The 20,276-nt window shown below is 48.1% G+C and overlaps 7 annotated features.

The window, feature by feature from the left end:
- Positions 1,905 to 2,014: an enhancer, noted in NCBI's record as "active region_3011". NCBI's record gives its function as "activates an Ori minimal core promoter by ATAC-STARR-seq in GM12878 lymphoblastoid cells {active_cell/tissue: GM12878}" and the evidence as "EXISTENCE:reporter gene assay evidence [ECO:0000049][PMID:35858748]".
- Positions 2,154 to 2,666: an enhancer, noted in NCBI's record as "NANOG hESC enhancer chr10:11482790-11483302 (GRCh37/hg19 assembly coordinates)". NCBI's record gives its function as "activates a minimal SCP1, AML or CMV promoter by ChIP-STARR-seq in naive H9 embryonic stem cells {active_cell/tissue: H9 hESC(naive)}" and the evidence as "EXISTENCE:reporter gene assay evidence [ECO:0000049][PMID:30033119]".
- Positions 4,939 to 5,601: an enhancer, noted in NCBI's record as "H3K4me1 hESC enhancer chr10:11485575-11486237 (GRCh37/hg19 assembly coordinates)". NCBI's record gives its function as "activates a minimal SCP1, AML or CMV promoter by ChIP-STARR-seq in primed H9 embryonic stem cells {active_cell/tissue: H9 hESC(primed)}" and the evidence as "EXISTENCE:reporter gene assay evidence [ECO:0000049][PMID:30033119]".
- Positions 5,602 to 6,265: an enhancer, noted in NCBI's record as "H3K27ac-H3K4me1 hESC enhancer chr10:11486238-11486901 (GRCh37/hg19 assembly coordinates)". NCBI's record gives its function as "activates a minimal SCP1, AML or CMV promoter by ChIP-STARR-seq in primed H9 embryonic stem cells {active_cell/tissue: H9 hESC(primed)}" and the evidence as "EXISTENCE:reporter gene assay evidence [ECO:0000049][PMID:30033119]".
- Positions 9,613 to 9,752: an enhancer, noted in NCBI's record as "active region_3012". NCBI's record gives its function as "activates an Ori minimal core promoter by ATAC-STARR-seq in GM12878 lymphoblastoid cells {active_cell/tissue: GM12878}" and the evidence as "EXISTENCE:reporter gene assay evidence [ECO:0000049][PMID:35858748]".
- Positions 10,083 to 10,202: an enhancer, noted in NCBI's record as "active region_3013". NCBI's record gives its function as "activates an Ori minimal core promoter by ATAC-STARR-seq in GM12878 lymphoblastoid cells {active_cell/tissue: GM12878}" and the evidence as "EXISTENCE:reporter gene assay evidence [ECO:0000049][PMID:35858748]".
- Positions 13,083 to 13,583: an enhancer, noted in NCBI's record as "H3K4me1 hESC enhancer chr10:11493719-11494219 (GRCh37/hg19 assembly coordinates)". NCBI's record gives its function as "activates a minimal SCP1, AML or CMV promoter by ChIP-STARR-seq in primed H9 embryonic stem cells {active_cell/tissue: H9 hESC(primed)}" and the evidence as "EXISTENCE:reporter gene assay evidence [ECO:0000049][PMID:30033119]".

A 20,276-nucleotide genomic window follows, 5' to 3' on the forward strand; every position in this document is an offset into this window, starting at 1 on the left:
GGCCCAATAACCAGATGCAGATGAACTGGGAAAGAAGAGAGTTGATTTCTGTAACTAGGTACAGAGAGAAGGCCTGGAAATTATCACTAGGACCAACTCAAAATTACAAAGTTTTCCAGAGCTTACATACCTTCTAAGCTATACGTCTATGTGTAAGTGTGCATTCCTCTACACACTTAAGCGATTAACTTCTTCTCATCTATAACTAAGGGCTGAGTCTTGAAGACCTCCCTCTGGAGCCTCAGGAAATTTGCTTCATCTAGTTGGGTCCAGGTGCTGGGGTGACTACCATTAGCTTGTCTCCTGCTAAATCATGGAGGTCTGGGGAGTTTCTTCAGACCCCCAGTAAGCTTGTTTAACCCTAAACAGGTCCTTTTAAGCACTCCTCTGTTATCTTGTCATGCTTCAAGGCCCAGGAAAGGCCTGGGCAAAACTCTTGGTGGGCTTTTGTTACATTCCAGCCTTCGTATAAGGGTGCTGGTTCTATTGGCTTTTAATGTTTAACCACATATTCAGTGCTGAAACTGTTTTTATGGAAGCCGGCGTTAATGAGACCTGGCTTGCCACAAATGAATAGAGAAAGACTTAAGTATAGGGTGAATGGAAAGACAGAAAACATATAGAGACATAGGACGGATGGGTAGACAGGTATAGAATGGATAAATAGAGGTACAGGATGGGTGAATAGATGATTGATTGACTGATAAAGGCATAGGACAGATGATGAGTAGATAGACAGATATAGGAGTAGAATGAATGGACATTTTTATTATCTTCCTAAAATGTGGACAAGGGGCAGAGAAAGGACAGAAAAACACGAATGCACAAGAAACTCAGAGCACAGATTATTCACTTTTGCTCTTTACACTCCAGAAGGAGGAGTTTTAGAAGCAAAGTTCAATGGCTCCCAGCTTCCGTCTTTAGATATCCGTGATAGATACATTTCTAGCAATGTCACCCAACACCAACTGGGAGAGCAAAACCTGACATAAACTAGAACCCCAAGAACCAAAGAGTATGCTGTCTCTGTCCCCACTGGCGACACACAGAACATAAGAGGCAGCCGTTGGCCCACGGGCCAGCCCTGCGCTTCCTCCCACACCCCCAACAAACGAGCGTGTCCTTCCAGTGTGGCTCCTTTGTCCCTCACCTTCCTCGAACAGAAAGAGAAGGGGGTCATGCCCACGTCCCTAACTGTGTCAAGCGGCCCAAACAGCAGCTATTCTAAAGAATGTGGCTATTTGGGGATGAAAGACCCTATGGAGGGCCAACCATTATCAGTAACAGTGCCAGTCCCCCAGAAATGTGAGTGCCAGACAGATTCTGCTGGGGGGCAGGAGATGCTTTTGTGGTGAAATGGAGCCCGGTGGGACTTTGAAATGGAGCCCGGTGGGACTTTGAGTCCTCATCCTATGTGTAAGTTCCAAATGCAGATCTGGCCCCCCATATACAAGGAGCATTGCTTCCTATACATAAAGCTGGTTATCCACTATTACCTGGAACTGAAAAATAGCTCGTTTTGGAAGGTTTTTTTTTTTTTTTGAGGGAGGGGCTTCCTTCCTGTTAGAGTATATTGAGGCAGAGTGACTATCTTGCTTGTACAGGGGCTGGGTAAAATGAGGCTGAAACCTACTGGGTTGCACTCCCAGGGGGCTGGGCATTCTTAGTCACAGGAAGGATGAGACAGAAGGGGCACAAGATACAGGTCACAAAGACCCTACAGGATGCAGTAAAAAGTGGACCAAAACCCACCAAAACCAAGATGACGACAAAAGTGCCCTCTGGTCATCCTCAGTGCTCACTAAACACTAATTATGATGTATTAGCATGTCAAAGACACTCCCAGCAGCACCTTGAGTTACAAATGCCACGGCAACGTGGGGAAGTTACCCCACATAGTCTAAAAAGGGGAGAGATCCTCAGTTCTGGGAAATCCCCACCCCTTTCCCCAGAAACCTCATGAATAATCCAATCCAGCCTTTGTTCAGCATATAATCAAGAAATATCTTTAAGTAGAAACAGTTCAGCAGCCCATGCTGCCGCTCTGTGTGGAGAGTAGCCATTCTTTTATTCCTTTACCTTCTTAATAAACTTGCTTTCGCTTTACTCTGTGGACTCAGCCCCAATTCTTTCTTGCATGAGGTCCAGGAACCCTCTCTTGGAGTCTGAATCCGGCCTCTTTCTGGTAATACCCCTAACATTGCCCATTCATAGTGATAAAGAGGAAATAAGACCATGCTGTTGGAGAGCGGCGGGCTAGATCAGAACACCACCCACATCTCGGGAGGAGGTGGGCGAGAAGGATCTACCTTTAAAGAGCTCCAATTAAAGCAATTACCATTGTTACAGAAATGACTGTTTTTAAAGGATTGAAGGCTTCTATTGGAGAACACTTCAGAGACCACGAGGAAAAAAACCGCCCACGTGAGCGGCCCATTAAAGAGAACAAAAGGCAAGCAGTGTTCAGACGATCTGCTTCCATCTTCCCAGGCCTCCTCCTGTTTTTTTTTTGTGGGCAGCCACCCTTCCCGAAAGCCTGTCATGCTTTCTGAGGTTCTCACTGAGCTGTCAGCTGGAGACTCAGGGCCCAGGAGAGGACGGACACGTGAGGGGGCTGCACGCGGTGCCAGGTGATGGCTGTCCCTTCCTTCCTCCTCTGAAGCTCTCTCCAGACAAGCTCCGGATGCTTGGATCCTTGTCGTGGGTCAAGGCATGGATGGCCCTCTGCGAGAAACAAGGACCTGAGAATCCACACTCACACGACAATTACAGGGGGTTGAAGAAGCCGTAATACGCAGTGATGGATGCTGTGGAGGTCAGGGGTACCGGACGTCACGGAGCCAGGAGTCTGGGATGACCTTCGTCCTCTGAGCCTAATGCTTCAAAGATCCGATGGGAGGTTTGATGTTGGTGGGGACATTCTCAGATGATGAGGGCAAGGGCGCATCCTCCGTCTACTTACAATGGGGTTCTGTCCTGATAAACCCGTCATGGGTTGAAAATACCTTAAGTCAAAAATGAATTGAATGCCTAACCCACTCCACATCACAGCTCAGCCTGGCCTACCCGAAACATGCACTCAACGCTCCCATTAGCCTGCCTGTGGGCAAAATCAGCTCACGCAAAGCCTGTTTTATAATAAACTGTTGAATAGCTCATGGAATTTGTTGAATACTGTACTGAGAGTGGAAAACAGAATGGTTATCGGGTACTCAAAGTAGTTTCTGCTGAGTGCGTTATCGCTTTCTATTTGGTCTTCCTGTTCCCTGACATACATCTCTTAAAATCCTTGGAATCTCCAAAGCAGTATCTTCTGTATGTGAATGATCGGCTGCTGGCTGGCAGACTCTAGGTATTATGCCTTTGGGATGGGGCTACTCACAAGAAAGACCAAGGCAGGATTAGGGGCGGGGGTGCTGAAAGTCCCAGCCTCTGTCTTTGTGGGGGCTGAAGGTGACCGCCAATGGCCAATAGTTTAAAAGTCCCCAAAAGGACAGGATTCAGAGAGTTTTGAGATACCTGAAAACATGGTTTCTGGAGGGCAGCGCCGTGGCGGGAGGGCCTGGAAGCTCCGCCCCTTCCCCCATACTTTGCCCTAGACATCTCTTCATCATGATCCTTTGTAATTTCCTTTATCGTAAACCAGCAACCGTAAGTGAGGGCTTCCCTGAGTTTTGTGAGCCACTCTAGCAAATTAACCGAACCCAAGAAGGGAGTCGTGGGAACCCTGATTTATAGCTGGTCACTGAGAAGCACAGATAGAGCCACCTGGGGCTTGCGATTGGCAGCAGGAGTGGGGACAGAGTCTTGTGGACTGAGTCCTCAGCCTGTGGGATCTGACGCTACCTCTGGGTAGTGTCAATAGCGTCAGAATTGAATTGGATTGCAGGACACCCAACTGGTGTCTCTGCAGAACTGACGGCTTGCACATTGGCGTGCAGTGGAGAAAACCCCACCCACACAGAGGTCTTCTGTGTTGATCATTGTGGTGCGAGAGCAGAGAAAAAACAGTTTTGAGTTTTTTGGACTCACCTTAGCACCATCATAAAGTCAGGGACCATCTACATTTTCAGAGTGTTGCAAACAGATTTTTTTGTTAAAGTACTCAAAACATTAATTTCTAGGAAAACAGGATTCATAAAACAAAGAAATGCAACCCCCCCACTTTATGATTAAATTCAAAAAATATGAAAATTAGTCTGCCAAATGCTTTAAAAGTTCTCAAAACCTTACTCTCAATTTCTGAACTTACCTCTTCGCAGACGTGTAGCAACCAGTCCCCCAGGTGGCCCCAGGTCACGGGCTACAAGTTGAGTGGCTCTAAGACATATGTTACCACCGGAGCACTCTTCACCCAAGAAGATCATGGAAACACAGGTCAAATAAGGTGTGGAAAACACCACGTATAGTTTTGGACGTGCACAGCGAGGCAGCATATTGAAGGTGCTGAGAAGTCCTGTTTACAACAAAAACAGAAATCTGCTCACCTTTGCTCAGTTTCCAAATTTGACTGTCACTTTCTCTTTTTGTGTTTACTTATTATTTTTATGTAACATTGCAACATTTGCCAAACCCCATTCCACCAAGAAATGCTTGCCTGGCCTCATGGGAACCTGCTCAGCCTGGCAGAAGGAAGTCACTAATTCTGAAACCTAAGGTCCGGGTCAGGCCCGAGGTGGCGATGCCTGGAGCCAGGCGCACCAAGCAGTGCAGGCAATCGCTTCAGGTGAAACTCAGTTTCCTCTTTATTTGCTTTGCTGCAGTGAATAAGAACCCCAGCTGTTACTGTTACTGCAACTTGGCCATTGCCTGGCACGTGGGGCCGCGTGGCCGTTAAGAAAAGTCTGCGCACAGAATACACTCATTTGAGTGTAAGGAGACCACGCGTTGCATCAGGGAGCTCCAGCGCACCAGGAAGAGCGACACTGTTTATCCCTCCCCCAGCTCCAGAGTGGGTTTTCCTAATGAGCAGGTAGGGGGTGAATATCTCACCGCGCAGCTTCCTTACAGGAGGCTTTGAATGCTGCCTGGAGTATATTTGAATCCCCAGGCCCGCTGATCCCCCTGTAATGAAACAGTTCCTTCTAGTCCAGTTTCTGCACACGGAGCACCCTACTCCCCATCGTGTCCCTGACGCCGAGACCGTGGAAGGAGGCTCTGCCAGCCGGGCCTCCACTCACCATGTGCTGGGCCAGTCGTGGCTGCATCTGGCTTGAGAGTTCACCCAGGACACCTGCGTCTTTCCAAGGCCTGTGTTTTCTGCCGCTGTATCCCCAAACCAAAGGCAAACCAAAGTCAAGGTCATTGTCTTGTCTAGGGCTCCATCTCCTAACTGTTTCCTCCTTCCTAACATGACTCTGCATTCCTGGGGGGCAGAGGGCGGTGGTGACTGCTACAGTCTCGGCGGATCCACGCCATCCCCACTACAGACAACATGGCGGTTTCCCTGGTGGCCAGACTTGCTGTTTAGTCTCAGAAAATGTAGCTGCAGGCCAGCCATCCTCAAGTCAGGCATGTTCTGCCATCACCCAGCCATGCCCCAACACCCAGCATCGAGGGCCAGTACTGGCAGGTGCCCAGAGACTTTCCAATTAGGAGGTCCCCAGACTGTGTCACAGTTGTCTGTGGGTAGACAACACGTCAGCCAATTCTTTTGATTTGGCTCCCAGAAGAAGGGCGAGTCTCCGTCCCCTACCCCTGAACGGGGCCCAGCTGTGGGCACTTGCCTCTAACAAGGGGACTGCGAGGCAGAGACACCAGCTATTCTTTGCGAATCAGGGAAGAAAAGGGAGGCCGCCTCCCACTGGCTGGCTCGCTCTCTCGGGGACTCAGCTTAAAACCCTGAGCCACCAGGTGAGCAGGGTGGCTATCCCGAAGACACCATGCTGGGAAGATCCCACCACAGAACACGCACAAAGAAACGCCCCAAGATGAGGAGCTCAGGGGTCCTGGCCCCGCCCCCCCGTCTCCCCCTCCCTCCAAACTCACCTACTCCCTTCCCAGCCCCAGCCCCGCTCCAGCCTCACCCCCAGCCCACCCATCCCTGCCCCCTGCACACCCGGCTTCCTCCCCACACCAGTCACCCACACCCGGCTCCCTCCCCCACACTCACGCACACCTGGCCACCTCCCCCCACCACTCACCCCCACCTCGCTCCCTCTCCCCCCACAACTTAATGCGCACACCCAGCTCAGCCACTCCCCTCGGGGTTGCTGTCTCCTCTCCCCTCTTTCTGTTGTGGAAGCCTCTACTTAGGAAGCCCACGGGGTTACCTGGTGCCCACCTTGGACATCTCTGTTCTCCACGTGTGTCAGGCTCAGCTCTCCCCACGGCTGTGCATCTGGAAGGTGACTGCGTCCCATCCCTGGGCACCCCGGTCACCCGCGTCTCCCCTGTCCCCCACGGGCAGGGCGAGTGCCTCCGGGTTCCTCACTGCTGGCTGACACCCTGGAGTGCTCACGGAGCAGGATGGGCTCGCAGAGCAGAACAAAGCAGCAGAACTCCAATGTCCGCTGCTGCTCAGCAGGACGACAACTCACATCTTCATTAACAGTGAGGAGCCAGCACCGACCAGGAAATCGTCTGGTTAGAACAGAAAAGGTAAACAGGCAAGATCTATGTTTTTGTTGCATGAGGCCTGGTAAGACTGTGAATGGGCAAAACGACCGATTTTCTTATTTCTCAAATAGAGAAGATAGTAATGCTGTTGTAAGGGTCAAATGCGATGATTTGTGTAAAATGCTTTGCACAGTGCCTGGCATACAGGGGCCTCATAAATGTGGGCTGTTTCTTGTTTTGTTTGTCTGTCTGTTTTTTGAGACAGGGTCTCACTCTGTCGCCCAGGCTGGAGTGCGGTGGTGCAATCATGGCCTCACTGCAGCCTTGACCTCCAGGGCTCAGGTGATCCTCCCACCTCAGCCTCCTGAGTAGCTGGGACCACAAATGCACACCACCATGCCCAGCTAACTTTTTTAAAAACTTTTTTGTAGAGAGGGAGTTTCGCTATGTTGCACAGGCTCGTCTTGAACTCCTGGGCTCAGCAATCCGCCTGCCTTACCTCCCAAAGTGCTGGGATTACAGGCGTGAGCCACCGCGCCCGGCATATGTGGGCTATTCCTATTCACATTAGGCGTCATCTCAAGTGTAACATGTCCCGTGCTGCACTCCTGATATCCCCCTGCTCCTCCCATCTCCCCAACCCAGTGAATGGCACCTTACCACTTTGACTTGTTCAGCCAAACAACCCCAAAACCCAGAAAGCCTTCTCCCCACAGTCTACATCCAGCCCAATGGCAAAGTTTTTGCTTCTGTCTTCAACATATACCCAGTTTTGACCATGTTCCCCCCTTCACCTCTATTACCCTGACCCAGCTGTCATCCACTCCCTTGGTTTGCAGCCAAGACTTTGCACCCCTCACACATCCACCCACTCCCACCACCCTAGTCCTCTCGACCAGCAGCCAGACGAAGTGTGTCAGCACAGAAGTCACATCAGTGTTTTGCTCAGAATCCACCAACAGCTTCCCCATGTTTCTCAGGTAAAAGCCCAGTCCTCTCCTGATCTCACGACCTAGTGGTCTGTTCCCTGCGTCAGAGTCTCTGTGCTCCTCTGTTCCCTATTTCCTTCCCGTGGTGGCCTGGCCTCACTGGCCTGCAGGCTCTTTCTGGAGCTTGCCAGGCCCACACCTGCCTCAGAACAGTGCACTTGCTATTCCTACTGCCTGAATCTTCTCCAAATATCTAGATGGCTTCCAGCCTCTTCTCAAAGCTCAGCTTCTCAGGGAGGTCTTCCCTGACCACCCAAATTAAAGTCACCACCCATCCCCAGCATTCTCCACGCTTCCTCTGTCTGGGGTGGTTCCCTCAGCCCTCACCACGGTCTAACTGACTTGGGGCTCCCTTTGCCTTGTTTCCCCCACCGGAAGGGAAGATACGCAAGGGTGTGGCGTGCACTGCTGTATCCCCAGTGCCTAGAATCAGTGCCAAACACAGAGCAAATGCGGAGTGAATGTTGAGGAAGGGAGGCAGGGAGGGAGGTAGGGAAGGAGGGAAGGAAGGGAGGGAGGGAGGGAGGGAGGGAGGGAGGGAGATGGCACACTACTTTGCCTCAAATGATTGGAAAAAAATCCAAGCTGATCATGTACCCTCGCTTGGTTTCCAAGCTGAAACAGACAGACCTTTGGTGCCTCCCCAGTGGGGAAGGGAAGTACGCTGGCTCCCGGGTGGCCCTGCCTTCATCTTTCATTTAGTGGGGTGTGCAGTGTGGTCACCATTAGTACATGGCTCATACTTCCTCTGATCTTAGACATCATCCTCATGGTCAAGTGAGAACAGAGTTAACCTCTTTGGATAAAGATATTTGCCCAAGGTGAGCGAGGCTGGAGGTCAAGTCTTCCTTCTGGGATGCCAGTTCACTGGGAGTCTCCTTGGCACGTCACGGGCAGGTCTCCTACCTAACTCACCACCACCACCACTTGCTCACAGCAGGGCAAATGTGTGGCCCACATGTACCAACAGCCTGCAGATTAGAATCGCATGAAGCTGGAGGTTCCAGGATAAGGTTTTAGTCCAGAGTCTGATATCAACCAGAGCCTCAAGCTCTGCAACCTGAAGGAGGCCACTGTGACCCCAAAGAGTGAGCTACCGTCACCTTCTCAGGAGGGTGCTGTCACAGATGTTTTGGCTGCTCCCCCCATGCATGTTTAGGGCAAGAGCCTTAAGCGGTTCAACAGCTCTTTCCTCCTTGCTTTCTATTTTCACCCATGGACTCATTCAGCACATGCTACTGAAATCCCATCTAGATTCCAAAGATAAATGTGCACAGAAGTTATCCCCTAGGGCCCTCCTTTCTTCCCTGAACCCCTTCTTTCTTTCTCTTGGAGCTCGCTACCCTCTTCCGTAGGTGGCTCCCTGGGTTGAAGCTTGGGGCCTCCAAGGCAATAAAGGTGTCCCTTCCTGGGCAGACAGGCAGCACAGATGTTCTCCTGGGGGAAGTCAGGGCCCTCCGAAGGCCCACCTGAGGTCTGCTGGCTGCCCCGAATATTCTGTCACCCCACAGGCATGAGAAATGAGGGGGGCAGCCTGGCTCCACGTGGCCCTTACAAAGTCCCGGGGAGATGCAGTGGGGAGAGCAAGGGAGCAGTGAGTCAAGACTGGCAGGAGCTCTGGGTTCGGCAGGGAGGGGCTTGTCGGAGCTGGCACTGCCACGTGGCACCAAGCCCAGGCATAGCAGGTGGCACCGACACAGCCTTAATTGATAGCTTAATTAAGGAATTAGGTAGGTTATAACTTCCAACCTACAGCTTGCTTAAGCTAAATTTCATTATCTCCCTTTGCTGTGGAACCGCACATCATGCAGTAAAGGAGGAGTGGGTGTCATCTGCCCAAGAGTGGTCACTAACATGCTTTGGCCTATCTGCATGCAAGATGGGAAGAAAAGTGAGGTGTTAGGGAGCAAATGTCAACAGGTGCTTTCTCCCCTCGCTGGAAGCTGCTCCAGGAAACCCCCAAAGGCAGCCATTTACCCTTTTCCCCCCAGAACTTGCTAAATAGCCTTCTGAGGATGAGAAGCATCATCTCCAACAGCCAGACCAGAGCCTCCAAAGGTTCTAAGCCTGTGAAATAAACGAAGTCTGCTGGGACACGGAGGAAGACAGACAGCATCTCTTGCATCTCTGCGAGCTCTGCAAAGGACACCACTCTGTGCTCTGGAACTGCAGCGTGCAGCTGCCTCTTCAGCTGGGGCCTCTGCCCCGCTCACTACAGCCCGAGGTGGGGCTGGGGAACTTGAACTTCTTCCTGACTGTTCCAGGAAGCCTGGCATTGATCCTTCTCGCTCACACTGTGGTCCCTAGAGTAGCAGCATCAACTGCACCGGGAGCTTATAAGAAATACAGAGTCTAGAAGCAAATCACACACCTATGGGATCAGACTTTGGAGCAAGGTCCCCAGGTGCTTTGTGTGCACAGTGAAGTTTCAGAATCAGTGACTTGGGTAATAGATAGTATAGTTTCACTTCCAGTTCAAATGAACCCTTTCCTAAAATATTCTGTGTAACCTGAAACTGGGTAAGAAGAGTTTTATGAAAAACCTCGGCCACTGGATAGAGATCCATACACGAGATCTGACACCCTTATTTAAATGTAGATAGGATGCTGGGGTTCGCAAGATAAGTGGTACAAGGCGGTGAGAGTCTCAGATTTGGGAGGGGAGTACACAGCAACAGAGAAGAGAGACAGGACACAGAAGCACTCGTAGTGAACCATGCCTTGTGCCTCTGCCCGTAGGCAGGTGGGTGGTGTACTTTGTGCACACTGGCAAGGTCCTCTTCCCACTGCAGGGCAGGTACGGTGGGGTTTGGAACACGGATCAAGCCTTTGAAAATACACCCAGGAAAACCTGCAACCCACAAGGCTAGGAGTCCAGCCGTTCGTTCCACTTCGCTGATCTCTTAAGCCAGTAAAGCTCCTTATTTGCACAGAAACTTGCAATTTCACTACCCCCCAAACCCTCCACCTTCAAGTCATTTCCAAGGAGGCCCTGGGGCCCCAGGCAGCAGACACAGAAAAAGCCTGCTGCAAAGAAGGTTCACAAGTGACATCACGACAGCCTTGGAAGCCAGGAGGAACGAGTGGTGCATATTTAATTTGATGTGGGGGGCAGCCACTGAAGGTTTCTAAGCAGGAAAATGACATAACCCAAATCGGGGTTTAAGGGTAAGATTTGAGATAGACTGAGTAGAAATTTATTGAAATCATCTAAGCAAGTGTTAACTGAAGGCTTCCACTAGGGTCTTGGTTTTTGGTTTTTTGTTTTTGTTTTTGTTTTTTTGAGATGGAGTCTTGCTCTGTTTCCCAGGCTGGAATGCAGTGGCGTGATCTCAGCTCACTGCAACCTTCCCGGGTTCAAGTGATTCTCCTGCCTCAGCCTCCTGAGTAGCTGGGATTACAGGCACCCACCACCACCCCTGGCTACTTTTTGTATTTTTAGTAGAGACAGGGTTTCGCCATGTTGACCAGACTGGTCTTGAACTCCTGACCTCAGGTAATGCACCTGCCTCGGCCTCCCAAAGTGCTGGGATTACAGGCGTGAGCCACTGCGCCCAGCCTAGGGTCTTGTTTAGGAGGATAGTGAACAAAATTTAACTTTATTCTGCTGGACACTCACTGGCACATGGTAGATGGTCCATAACGTTACGGTGAATGAACAAATGTGTGACATGGGGACGTCATCACCTATATGCTGTACACAGCAATGCATTGAGACCTAAGTTTTGTTGGGTTATTTTTACCCATATTAACTGGGCCAAAATATCATTTTTTGAATATTCCTGACTGGGCTTGTCGGTTGGTTTTGCATTTATATAAATAACCACTATTACTTTTGCACCAATCTAATACCTCGCCTCTGTCCTCTCGCTTAAGTTGTGGGCTGTCTGGCTGCAGGCAGGGGGCATGCATAGTGTCGGCTGTTTTCTTCATTTGTGGCCTTTGGTCGGCTTTGGGATGGAGCAGGAGTTGGGAAAGGTGAGGTCTGGTCCCGCCGAGTCGTGAGACCACAGACAGATCAGTAGATGATGCTGGACTTGTCTTCATCGAGCATTCGAGGGCCTCTGAACTTGTGTGTGTTTCGATACCAGATGATGTGATTAGAGTGTGTGGTTTGTAGAAAATTAAATTCTTTAGCCAAACCGGCTGCTAAAGCTTCTGCCCAGAATCAATATACTATTAGAAGTCCTGGAAACTAATAAACATACCATAACTATTAATTTATGAATAGATTTTTGGAAATAACCTCAGAGAAGTAATCCAGGCTTGAAGCAAGTTTTGCAGCACCAGATGGAGTGTGTGAGTTTAATCAGGCTCCTGAAAAGGGAACTGTACAATATATTCTTAAAAATTCACTATCATCTCTGAGTTCAGCCTTAGAGAAGCCAGAGGAAGTACAGGAAGAATCGAGAACTTAGAAGAAGCTGAGATAAGAAATGACTAACACAGGGAAGCCCAGAAGTTCTTTTATGATAAAGTGTGGTGGCAGCAGCGGGGACAATGGACCCGTCTAGAATCCAGTCACCTGGCCAGCGTCGCCTGAGCATGAAGAGGCCAAAAAGAACCTGGCCTCACCTGACCAGTGTCCCACACACAGGGTGGTAGAGTGAAAGGCCGGCTGTCAGTGGACCCTCAGGATGTCCCCATCACACCCGGCGCAAGAGGATTTTTTTAAGGGTAAATATGTTCAATGTAAAGGACTGCTTTTGAGTTTATGGTCTTCTTTCTTCTGTTATGTATTTTTAAATTGTGTTATATATTAAAATTTTGTTTTTTATTATTTTTTGAGATGGAGTCTTGCTGGAGTGCAGTGGTGCGATCTCAGCTCACTGCAACCTCCGCCTCCCAGGTTCAAGCAATTCTCCTGCCTCAGCCTCCTGAGTAGCTGGGACTACAGGCACACGCCACCAGACCCAGCTAATTTTTTGGTATTTTTAGAAGAGAAGGGGTTTCACAGTAAATACTCTTGACAAAGTAAGAGTGGACAACTTTGTGACAGCACCCCACGTCTCAGAGAGCATTTTAGCAACTCATGAAATCCAAAAGAACAGGCTATCCTGGACTAGTAGATCACCCAGTGATTTTTAAAAGATGGGTCAGAGTTTCAAACCTCCTCCACCTCCTTTCTGGTATCAATAAACACCTTCTCATTGTTTCTGATCAGGGTTGGCCAGGGATAAAAAGATTGGCTTCCCATGCTTTAAAAAAGAAACCTTTAAGTCCAGCATCGATTTATTCAGCAGGAAGGGAACAGGAGGCATCTGATCTGAGGCTCCCTCCATGATTTGAGGTCTTCCCATCTCTGCGATATCTGCCTTTCAAAAACTAGGATTATTGCTTGTTGAGCTTTCACGCTCCCAGCATCACTTTGACCTTCAGCTTCAATGGCGGACACAATGAAGTGCCTTCATCTCCCTGCCGCCCTGGCCGTGGGCACTCCGTGTGCTTCTGGTGGTGTCCCCTGGTCTCCAGGACTCCCGGGCCTCTGACCACCAGCTGGTTTCAGGGCACCCCCGGTCACCCCTCTGAGTTCTCTCACCACTTCTTCCTCCCCAGATGGAAAGACCAAGACTGTCGAGGAGGGAACAGCACTGCGAGACCCTCCCTGAGGACCAGGCTGGCTGAGTTCCACCTGCAGCTCTGTCAGTGCTGGTTATGGCTGTCACCTGAGCGGTGCCCACGTGGGGACTGTGCATCCTGTCCCACTCCCGTCTGTTCCCACCTACCTGGGCCCTGCCCCCTTTCTCCCCAACGCAGCTCCCTGCCGTACTTCACCGTGGCTGATTCTCACATCCCAGGTGCCTGACCATCAGTCCTGAGATCTTCATGTCCTAAGAAGCCTCCCAGTCTTCACACAGACAAAGCTCACGCCCCTCCTGATGGCCCAGGAGAACCTCAAGCTCATGTCAACGACTCCCCTTTCCAGTCCAGTCAGGACCTTTGGCACCGTAATGCTCCAAGCCTGGTCAGAGGCTGTCAGGATGGATAGGCAGGGGAGGTAGATGTGAATGCTGTTCTGTAGCTCTTCTTCACTTGGCAATAAATGAGAGGTTTCTTTCCATGCCAGTACATAGAAAGTGACCTACATGTTTTTAGAGGGTGAACGGTTTTCTTCTATGTGCATGTACCATAATTTAACCTGTCCTCTACTGACAGACATTCAGCTTATTTCCAGTTTTTCTCTATTTTAAAAAAAGTGCAACATGAGAATCATTTGAACCCAGGAGGCGGAGGTTGCAGTGAGCTGAGATCACACCACTGCACTCCAGCCTGGACAACAGGGTGAGACTCTGTCTCAAAAAAAAAAAAAAGGTGCAACAAACATCCTTTTACATATATCTTTTCTCACTTGTATTTCTGCCCATAGAAATAGGATTGCTGGACCAAACAATATTCACATAAATTCTGAGGCTACAAAGTGGTGCATTTTGGGAATGCAGTCTTCTTCTCCCTAGCGGGGCGTGAACAGCATTATCTTTGCCCATGATTGTTTCCATTTCAGTTTATCTAATGATGATGTAGAACATGCTTAATAACTTTGCACTTCTACATTTTCCTTTACCGTTCTTGGCCCATATTTCATCTGGGGGCACTTTATAAGTCTAAAGGGAAGAAAGGCCTTTTAAATATGAATGGCATTAGCCCTTCCCCTATGTGAACATTTAAATTCATCATTTAGCCTTCCCTGAGCATCTGTTCCAGGCACCGGAAGACGCGTCCATCATCTCGGTGAAGCCTCAGAGCAGCCTGCAGGGAAGGCCTCGTTTTCCCTACCTCATTCATGAGCCAGACGTCCCATGCAGTTTAGTAGAGAAGCTGAGACTCATCTCCAAATTTGTTTTCAAGCCTGTGTTCTTTCCACTGTCCTACTCAAAACCTCTAAGTAAAAATCTCCTAATATCATCTTAAGGTATTTCCTGGTAGTAACAGAAGATATGGGAGTTAGAAGAATAAAGAAAGATGACTGGGCGTGGTGGCTAATGCCTATAATCCCAGCACTTTGGGAGGCTGGGGCGGGAGGAGTGCTTGAGCCCAGGAGTTCAAGACCAGCCTGGGCAACATACCAAGACCCTACCACTACAATAAAAACTTTTTAAATTAGCTGGGTTTGGTGGCTCATGCCTGTAGTTCCAGCTACTCAAGAGGCTGGGGCAGGAGGCTGGGCTTTAGTCCAGGAGTTTGAGGCTGCAGTGAGCTATGATTGTGCCACTGCACTCCAGCCTGGGTAGCAGAGCAAGACCTTCTCTCTAAACCAAAATACAAGTGATTCGATGTAGTTGGTCTTGGGTGGGCCTGAACATCAGTATTTTTAGAAGAACTTCAGGGGATTCTTCTTTGCAGCAGGGTTGAGGTCCGCTGCCTTCCATCATCTCCACTGTTCCTTCCAGCTCTGTTGTGCAGGCTGGAGTGCAATGGCGCGATCTTGGCTCGCTGCAACCTCCACTTCCTGGGTTCAAGTGATCCTCCTGCCTCAGCCTCCTGAGTAGGCTGGATTACAAGTGTGCGCCATCATGCCTGGTTAGTTTTTTGTAGTTTTAGTAGAGACGGGTTTTTGCCATGTTGGTCAGGCTGGTTTCAAACTCCTGGCCTGAGGTGGTCCACCAGCCTCAGCCTCCCAAAGTTCTGGGATTACAGGCATGAGCCGCTGTGCTTGGCCCCACATATGCTATTTCTAAATCACATCTCCTCTTTGTTTACTACATGTGGAGCAGACTTTAAATCACTGCTCGACGAAGTCAATGATGTTCACATACGTAGAAGTTTCTCAATGCTGCCTGCTTTATATTCAGATTATGTTGATTTTCCTCCAAATGACAAATCTGAATTACAGATAATTTAGTAATTGGTGTTTAATACTTACAAATACGTAAAGCAACAAACTGGAATAAAACCAAGGGATGCTTTGTGGAAGTACTTGAGAATGTTGAAGTCCAACTGATTTCTAATTAGCATTACTTTCCCATGTAAATGCACGCCCCTCCAATCCCTAACTTAGCACATCCTTCGCTCCAGCTACGACTCAATCGCTGCACATCCCATCTCATCCAAACCTTTGAGCTGCATCACTTCCCACTTGTGCCTGTGGCCACTGCAGTCTGATTCTGACTCTAGGAATCACAGCAGGTGACAGCAGAGAGCTCCTCATTGTCAAGTCCAAGTGGACTTTCCAGGCCTCCCTCACTGGGCCCTCCTGCTGCATTTCCAGTGCAGATGCTGCCTCCTTCCTGGAGCCCCTGCTCCTCCAGCCATGGCACAGTCTCCTCAGATTGCCCTGCCTGTGCCTCCTCCCTCCTGGGTCACATGTGACCTTACTGTGTCTTTACCTCTGGACTCCCACTAGACTCAGCTCCACATCGCTCCTGGTCACTGAAACCTAGCACTGTGGTGGTGGGTGACTATCCCTAACATTCCAAATCATTCCTGAGTGACAACACTGTGTGGATATTTCAGAGATTAACTCAATCTTCATGACTCTATGAAATAAAAACTACAATCTTCATTTCATAGATGAGGAAATGGATCAGAATATAAGCCCCATGAGGACAGGGACTTTGTTGTCCTGTTACATGATGATCTCAACAGGACCTGGAACGGTGGCTGGCCATGAATGCAAAATTGAAACCTCAGCCAGTCTGACTCCCATCCCAGGGCACTCAAACATCAGCTGCGACTGCCCCTGCGAGTCCTTCGGAGGCTCCTTTCCCTCTGGTACCTCTTAAATGCCCACACCTTACAGCAGAGCAAAGTAAGGCCCAGAAGAGGTGTGTGGCCCAAGGTCACATTGCTAACATGTGGCACACTCAGACTACAATGCAGACTTGACAACCTCCAGTCCACTCTACCAGACTGACAAATGCACAGGGATGTTGATGTCTTTTCAAAGATAACTCCGCTAAATGGTAGTACCTGTAGTCTGTGATGCAGACGTGGCTGATAACTTAACAAATGTCTTCGTGTCTGCGGCTCAGCTGTGCTGTTGTCCCAGGTGCCCCACCTTGGCTGGCATATCTCCCAGGCCAGCACTCTTGTGACTCTGCCCCCTACATGCTGGGGAGTCTCTATCTCTCTCTGGGACAGCCAACCACCTGTCAGACAACATCATCTGTCAATCTCCTAATCTTCAAACTCTACATGTCAAAACAGAAGTCGTTTTCCCACTAAACCTAAACCAGCACCTTCTGAATTCCTTTTATGAGATGATGGCCCCACTCTTCACCCTACTGCCCAACGCAGGAACTGCAGAAATCCATCTTGACCCTTCTTCTCCCCATACAGGGGAGCGTGATGTTTCAGAGCAAAGGCTCTGAAGAAAACAGCTCCATTCACGAGAGAAAGCAGTACTAATTTTAACCATAGAAGTACAAGACATATTCTGATATTATACAACATTGCTGAGAGAAATTAAAGATCAAAATAAATGGAGAGGCATTCCATGTTTATAAATCGGAAGACCCAATACTGTTAAGATGGCAGTTCTTCCTTGACTCATCTATAGATTCAAAACATTCCCTATGGAAACCCCAGCAGGCCTTTTTGCAAAAACTGACAACCAGACCTTGTAAGTTATACAGAAATGCAGAGGACCCAGATTAGCCAAAATAATGTCAAAAAGAATGGAGAATGTATACGTCCCAATTTCAAAATTTAAATAACTCTTACATATATGTTCAGTTGATTTTTGACAGGGACACAGTGGGGAAAAGCAGTCCTTTTAACACATGGTGCTAAGACCACTGAATATCCATAGGAATTTAGATCTTTACCTCATACCATATATAAAAATTAATTTAAAACAGCTCACAGGCCCAAATTTAAGAGCTAAAACTATAAAACTTCCAGAACAAAACATAGGAGAAAATCTTTGTGACCTTTAGTTAAGCAGAGAGAGATACAGTACTAAAAGCATAACTCGTATAAGGAAACTAATACATTAGGCTTCATTAAAATTAAAAACAAGTGCATTTCAAAAGACACCATTAGGAAAAGATAAGCCACAGACTGGGAGAAAATATTTGCAAATCATGTCTTAAAAGGACTTGTATCCAGAATATATTAAGAACTCTTACTATTTAATAAGAAAAAAAACCCAACTGAAAAGTGAGCAAAAGATTTAAATAGACATTTCACCAAAGGTATATAAACGGCCCATAAGCACATGAAAAATGCTCATCATTAGCTATCAAGGAAATGTAAATCAAAGCCACAATGAGTTACCACTTCACATCCACAAGGATGGCTATAATTTTAAAAGACACATAATCACAAGTGTTGGTGAGGACGTGGAGATATCAGAACCCTCCTACATTGCTGGTGCAAATGTAAAATGGTGCAGCTTCTTTGGAAAACAGTCTGGCAATTTCCTAAAAAGTTAAACATATGTCTGCACAAACACTTGTACACAAATGGTCACAGCAGCATGAAAACAATCTACATGTCTATCAACTGGTGAATGAACAAACAAAATCTGACACAGCCATACAATGGAACAGCATTCAGCCCAGCAATAAAAAGGAAAGCAATTACTGATAGATGCCACTACAGGGAGGAACTTCAGAAACATTACTGAGTGAAAGAAGCCAGACACAAAAGACCATGTCTGATTCCATTTATAGGAAATGTTCAGAAATGGCAAACCTGAAGGACAGAAAGCCGATCAGTTGCTGTGTGGAAATGGAAATGGGGCTTAATTGCAAACTGGAATAAGATTTTTTTTTTTTTTGAGTTGTTCTAACATTGGTTGTGATAGTTGCACAACTCTATAAACTTACTGAACAACCATCTAAGTATAAACCTAAAATGGGTAAATTTTGTGGCAGGTAAATTGTATCTCCTTAAAACTGTTAGGGGAGAGAGGGAGGCACAGGCTCTTCATTCAGAGTACCAGGGTCCCAGTCCTCGCCCTTTTACTTATCCACTCTGTCGCTTGGGGCAAGTTAAACTTTGTGCCTTAGTTTTCTCGTCTGTAAACTGGCAATTATAGTAGTACATACTTCGTTATTGTGAGGATTAAATCGGTTAATACCAGTAAAACGTCTAGCAGAGTGCCAAACACACAGCAAGCATTCAGTGTTAGCTGTTGTCTCATTATGACCATTCGGATTACACGCATCCAGTTGTCTTGCCAGTTTCCCTTGGTAATTAGTTCTCAATCACCTTTTCTTCATACCTTCTTCCCTGGCCTTAAGCTCTGTGCCACCTTTTAGATGAAAGGCTTGTCCTGTCTCCCTCACTGCCCCCAGGCCTGTTCCCTCACATTTCACTTCCACAGCATGGAGGGACCACACCAGGTCAAAACCAACTACAGGATCAAGTTCAACTGCACACAACTCCCTCCACCATCCTGTCTCTGTGGAGCCCGTCACCCCTGTCCACCCCCATGCCTACCCCACATACACATCACAGTGGCAAATTTCCTCACACATCCCATGCAGCTGCTCTTGCCATCGGTCCCCTCTGCAGAATGCCCTGCTCTCTCCCCCTCTTGTCTTTCTATATGCTTGTCCTGTCAGGCTCAGCTGAGACAAATCCTTCATAAGACTTCCCTGAACCTCTTGGGCTGGGATCACTAGTTGGCCTTTATATTTGTCCATAATATGCCTGTAATAGCCTGGGCATATCTCCAACACTGATTGACAGATTACAAAACACACTGTCAGATTAGAACACACATCTCACATCTGGAAGCATGAATCCAGCACAATGCAGGTGCTCGACAGAATGTTAGCTGGCCAAATGAAGGACCAGACAGGCAGCGCTTTCTCAGCTCCTCATATACTGAAAATGCTCACAGACTTCCAAACAGCTTAGGACTTTGTCTAGGAACATGGAAATCTTAGGGAGACTCTCCCTCTGTTGAGGAGCACTGCAAGCAGCACCTGAGTGGAAGGACAGGGCCTGCCGTCTTCCGTTTGATGCCGTAACTGTCAGCAGTTCAGGAGCATTTGCAGAGATGGCTGGTAATGTTAATTTTGCTGGTGGAATATTTCCTAACTTGCCCAACATCCGAGTTTCTAAACTCTGAAACTCTTGATTAAGAATCTTTGAGATATCTCATAGCGGGAATATAAGACAATCAACTTCAGAGGGATGTAACAGCTTAATGACTGAACTTTAAATTATGGGGGAAAATACAATAATCTGATGTCTGGGTTCCATCCAAGATATTCTGATTTAAGTGGTCTGGGATATAACCTATGCAGAAAATTTTTTTAAAGTTCACTCAGTAATTCTAAAGAATTATAGTGACCCAGCAAGGGTCAAGATCTGCTCTTATATTAGTTCCTCTGTCATTTTCTCATGTATAAATGGTAGCAGTTATGCTTAGATTTATGGATAACTGAAAGTCCTTCTGAAAATAAAATGCATAAATGTTAATCAGATTCCTTTTTCCTATTCTCACGACTTTGGGTCATCTTAAAAGTTTGGGCTGGGCACAGTGGCTCACACCTGTAATCCCAGCACTTTGGGAGGCCGAGGCAGGTGGATCACTTGAGGTCAGGAGTTTGAGACCAGCCTGGCCAACATGGTGAAACCCTGTCTCTACTAAAAATACAAAAAAAAAAAAAAAAAAAAAAAAAGCCAGGTGTGGTGGTGGGCACCTTTAATCCCAGCTACCTGGGAGGCTGAGACAGGAGAATCGCTTGAACTTGGGAGGCAGAGGCTGCAGTGAGCTGAGATCTCCCCACTGTACTCCAGTCTGGGTGAGAGAGTGAAACCCCATCTCAAAAA

Source organism: Homo sapiens, chromosome 10 (assembly GCF_000001405.40).
Source record: "Homo sapiens chromosome 10, GRCh38.p14 Primary Assembly".
Lineage (NCBI taxonomy): Eukaryota > Metazoa > Chordata > Mammalia > Primates > Hominidae > Homo > Homo sapiens.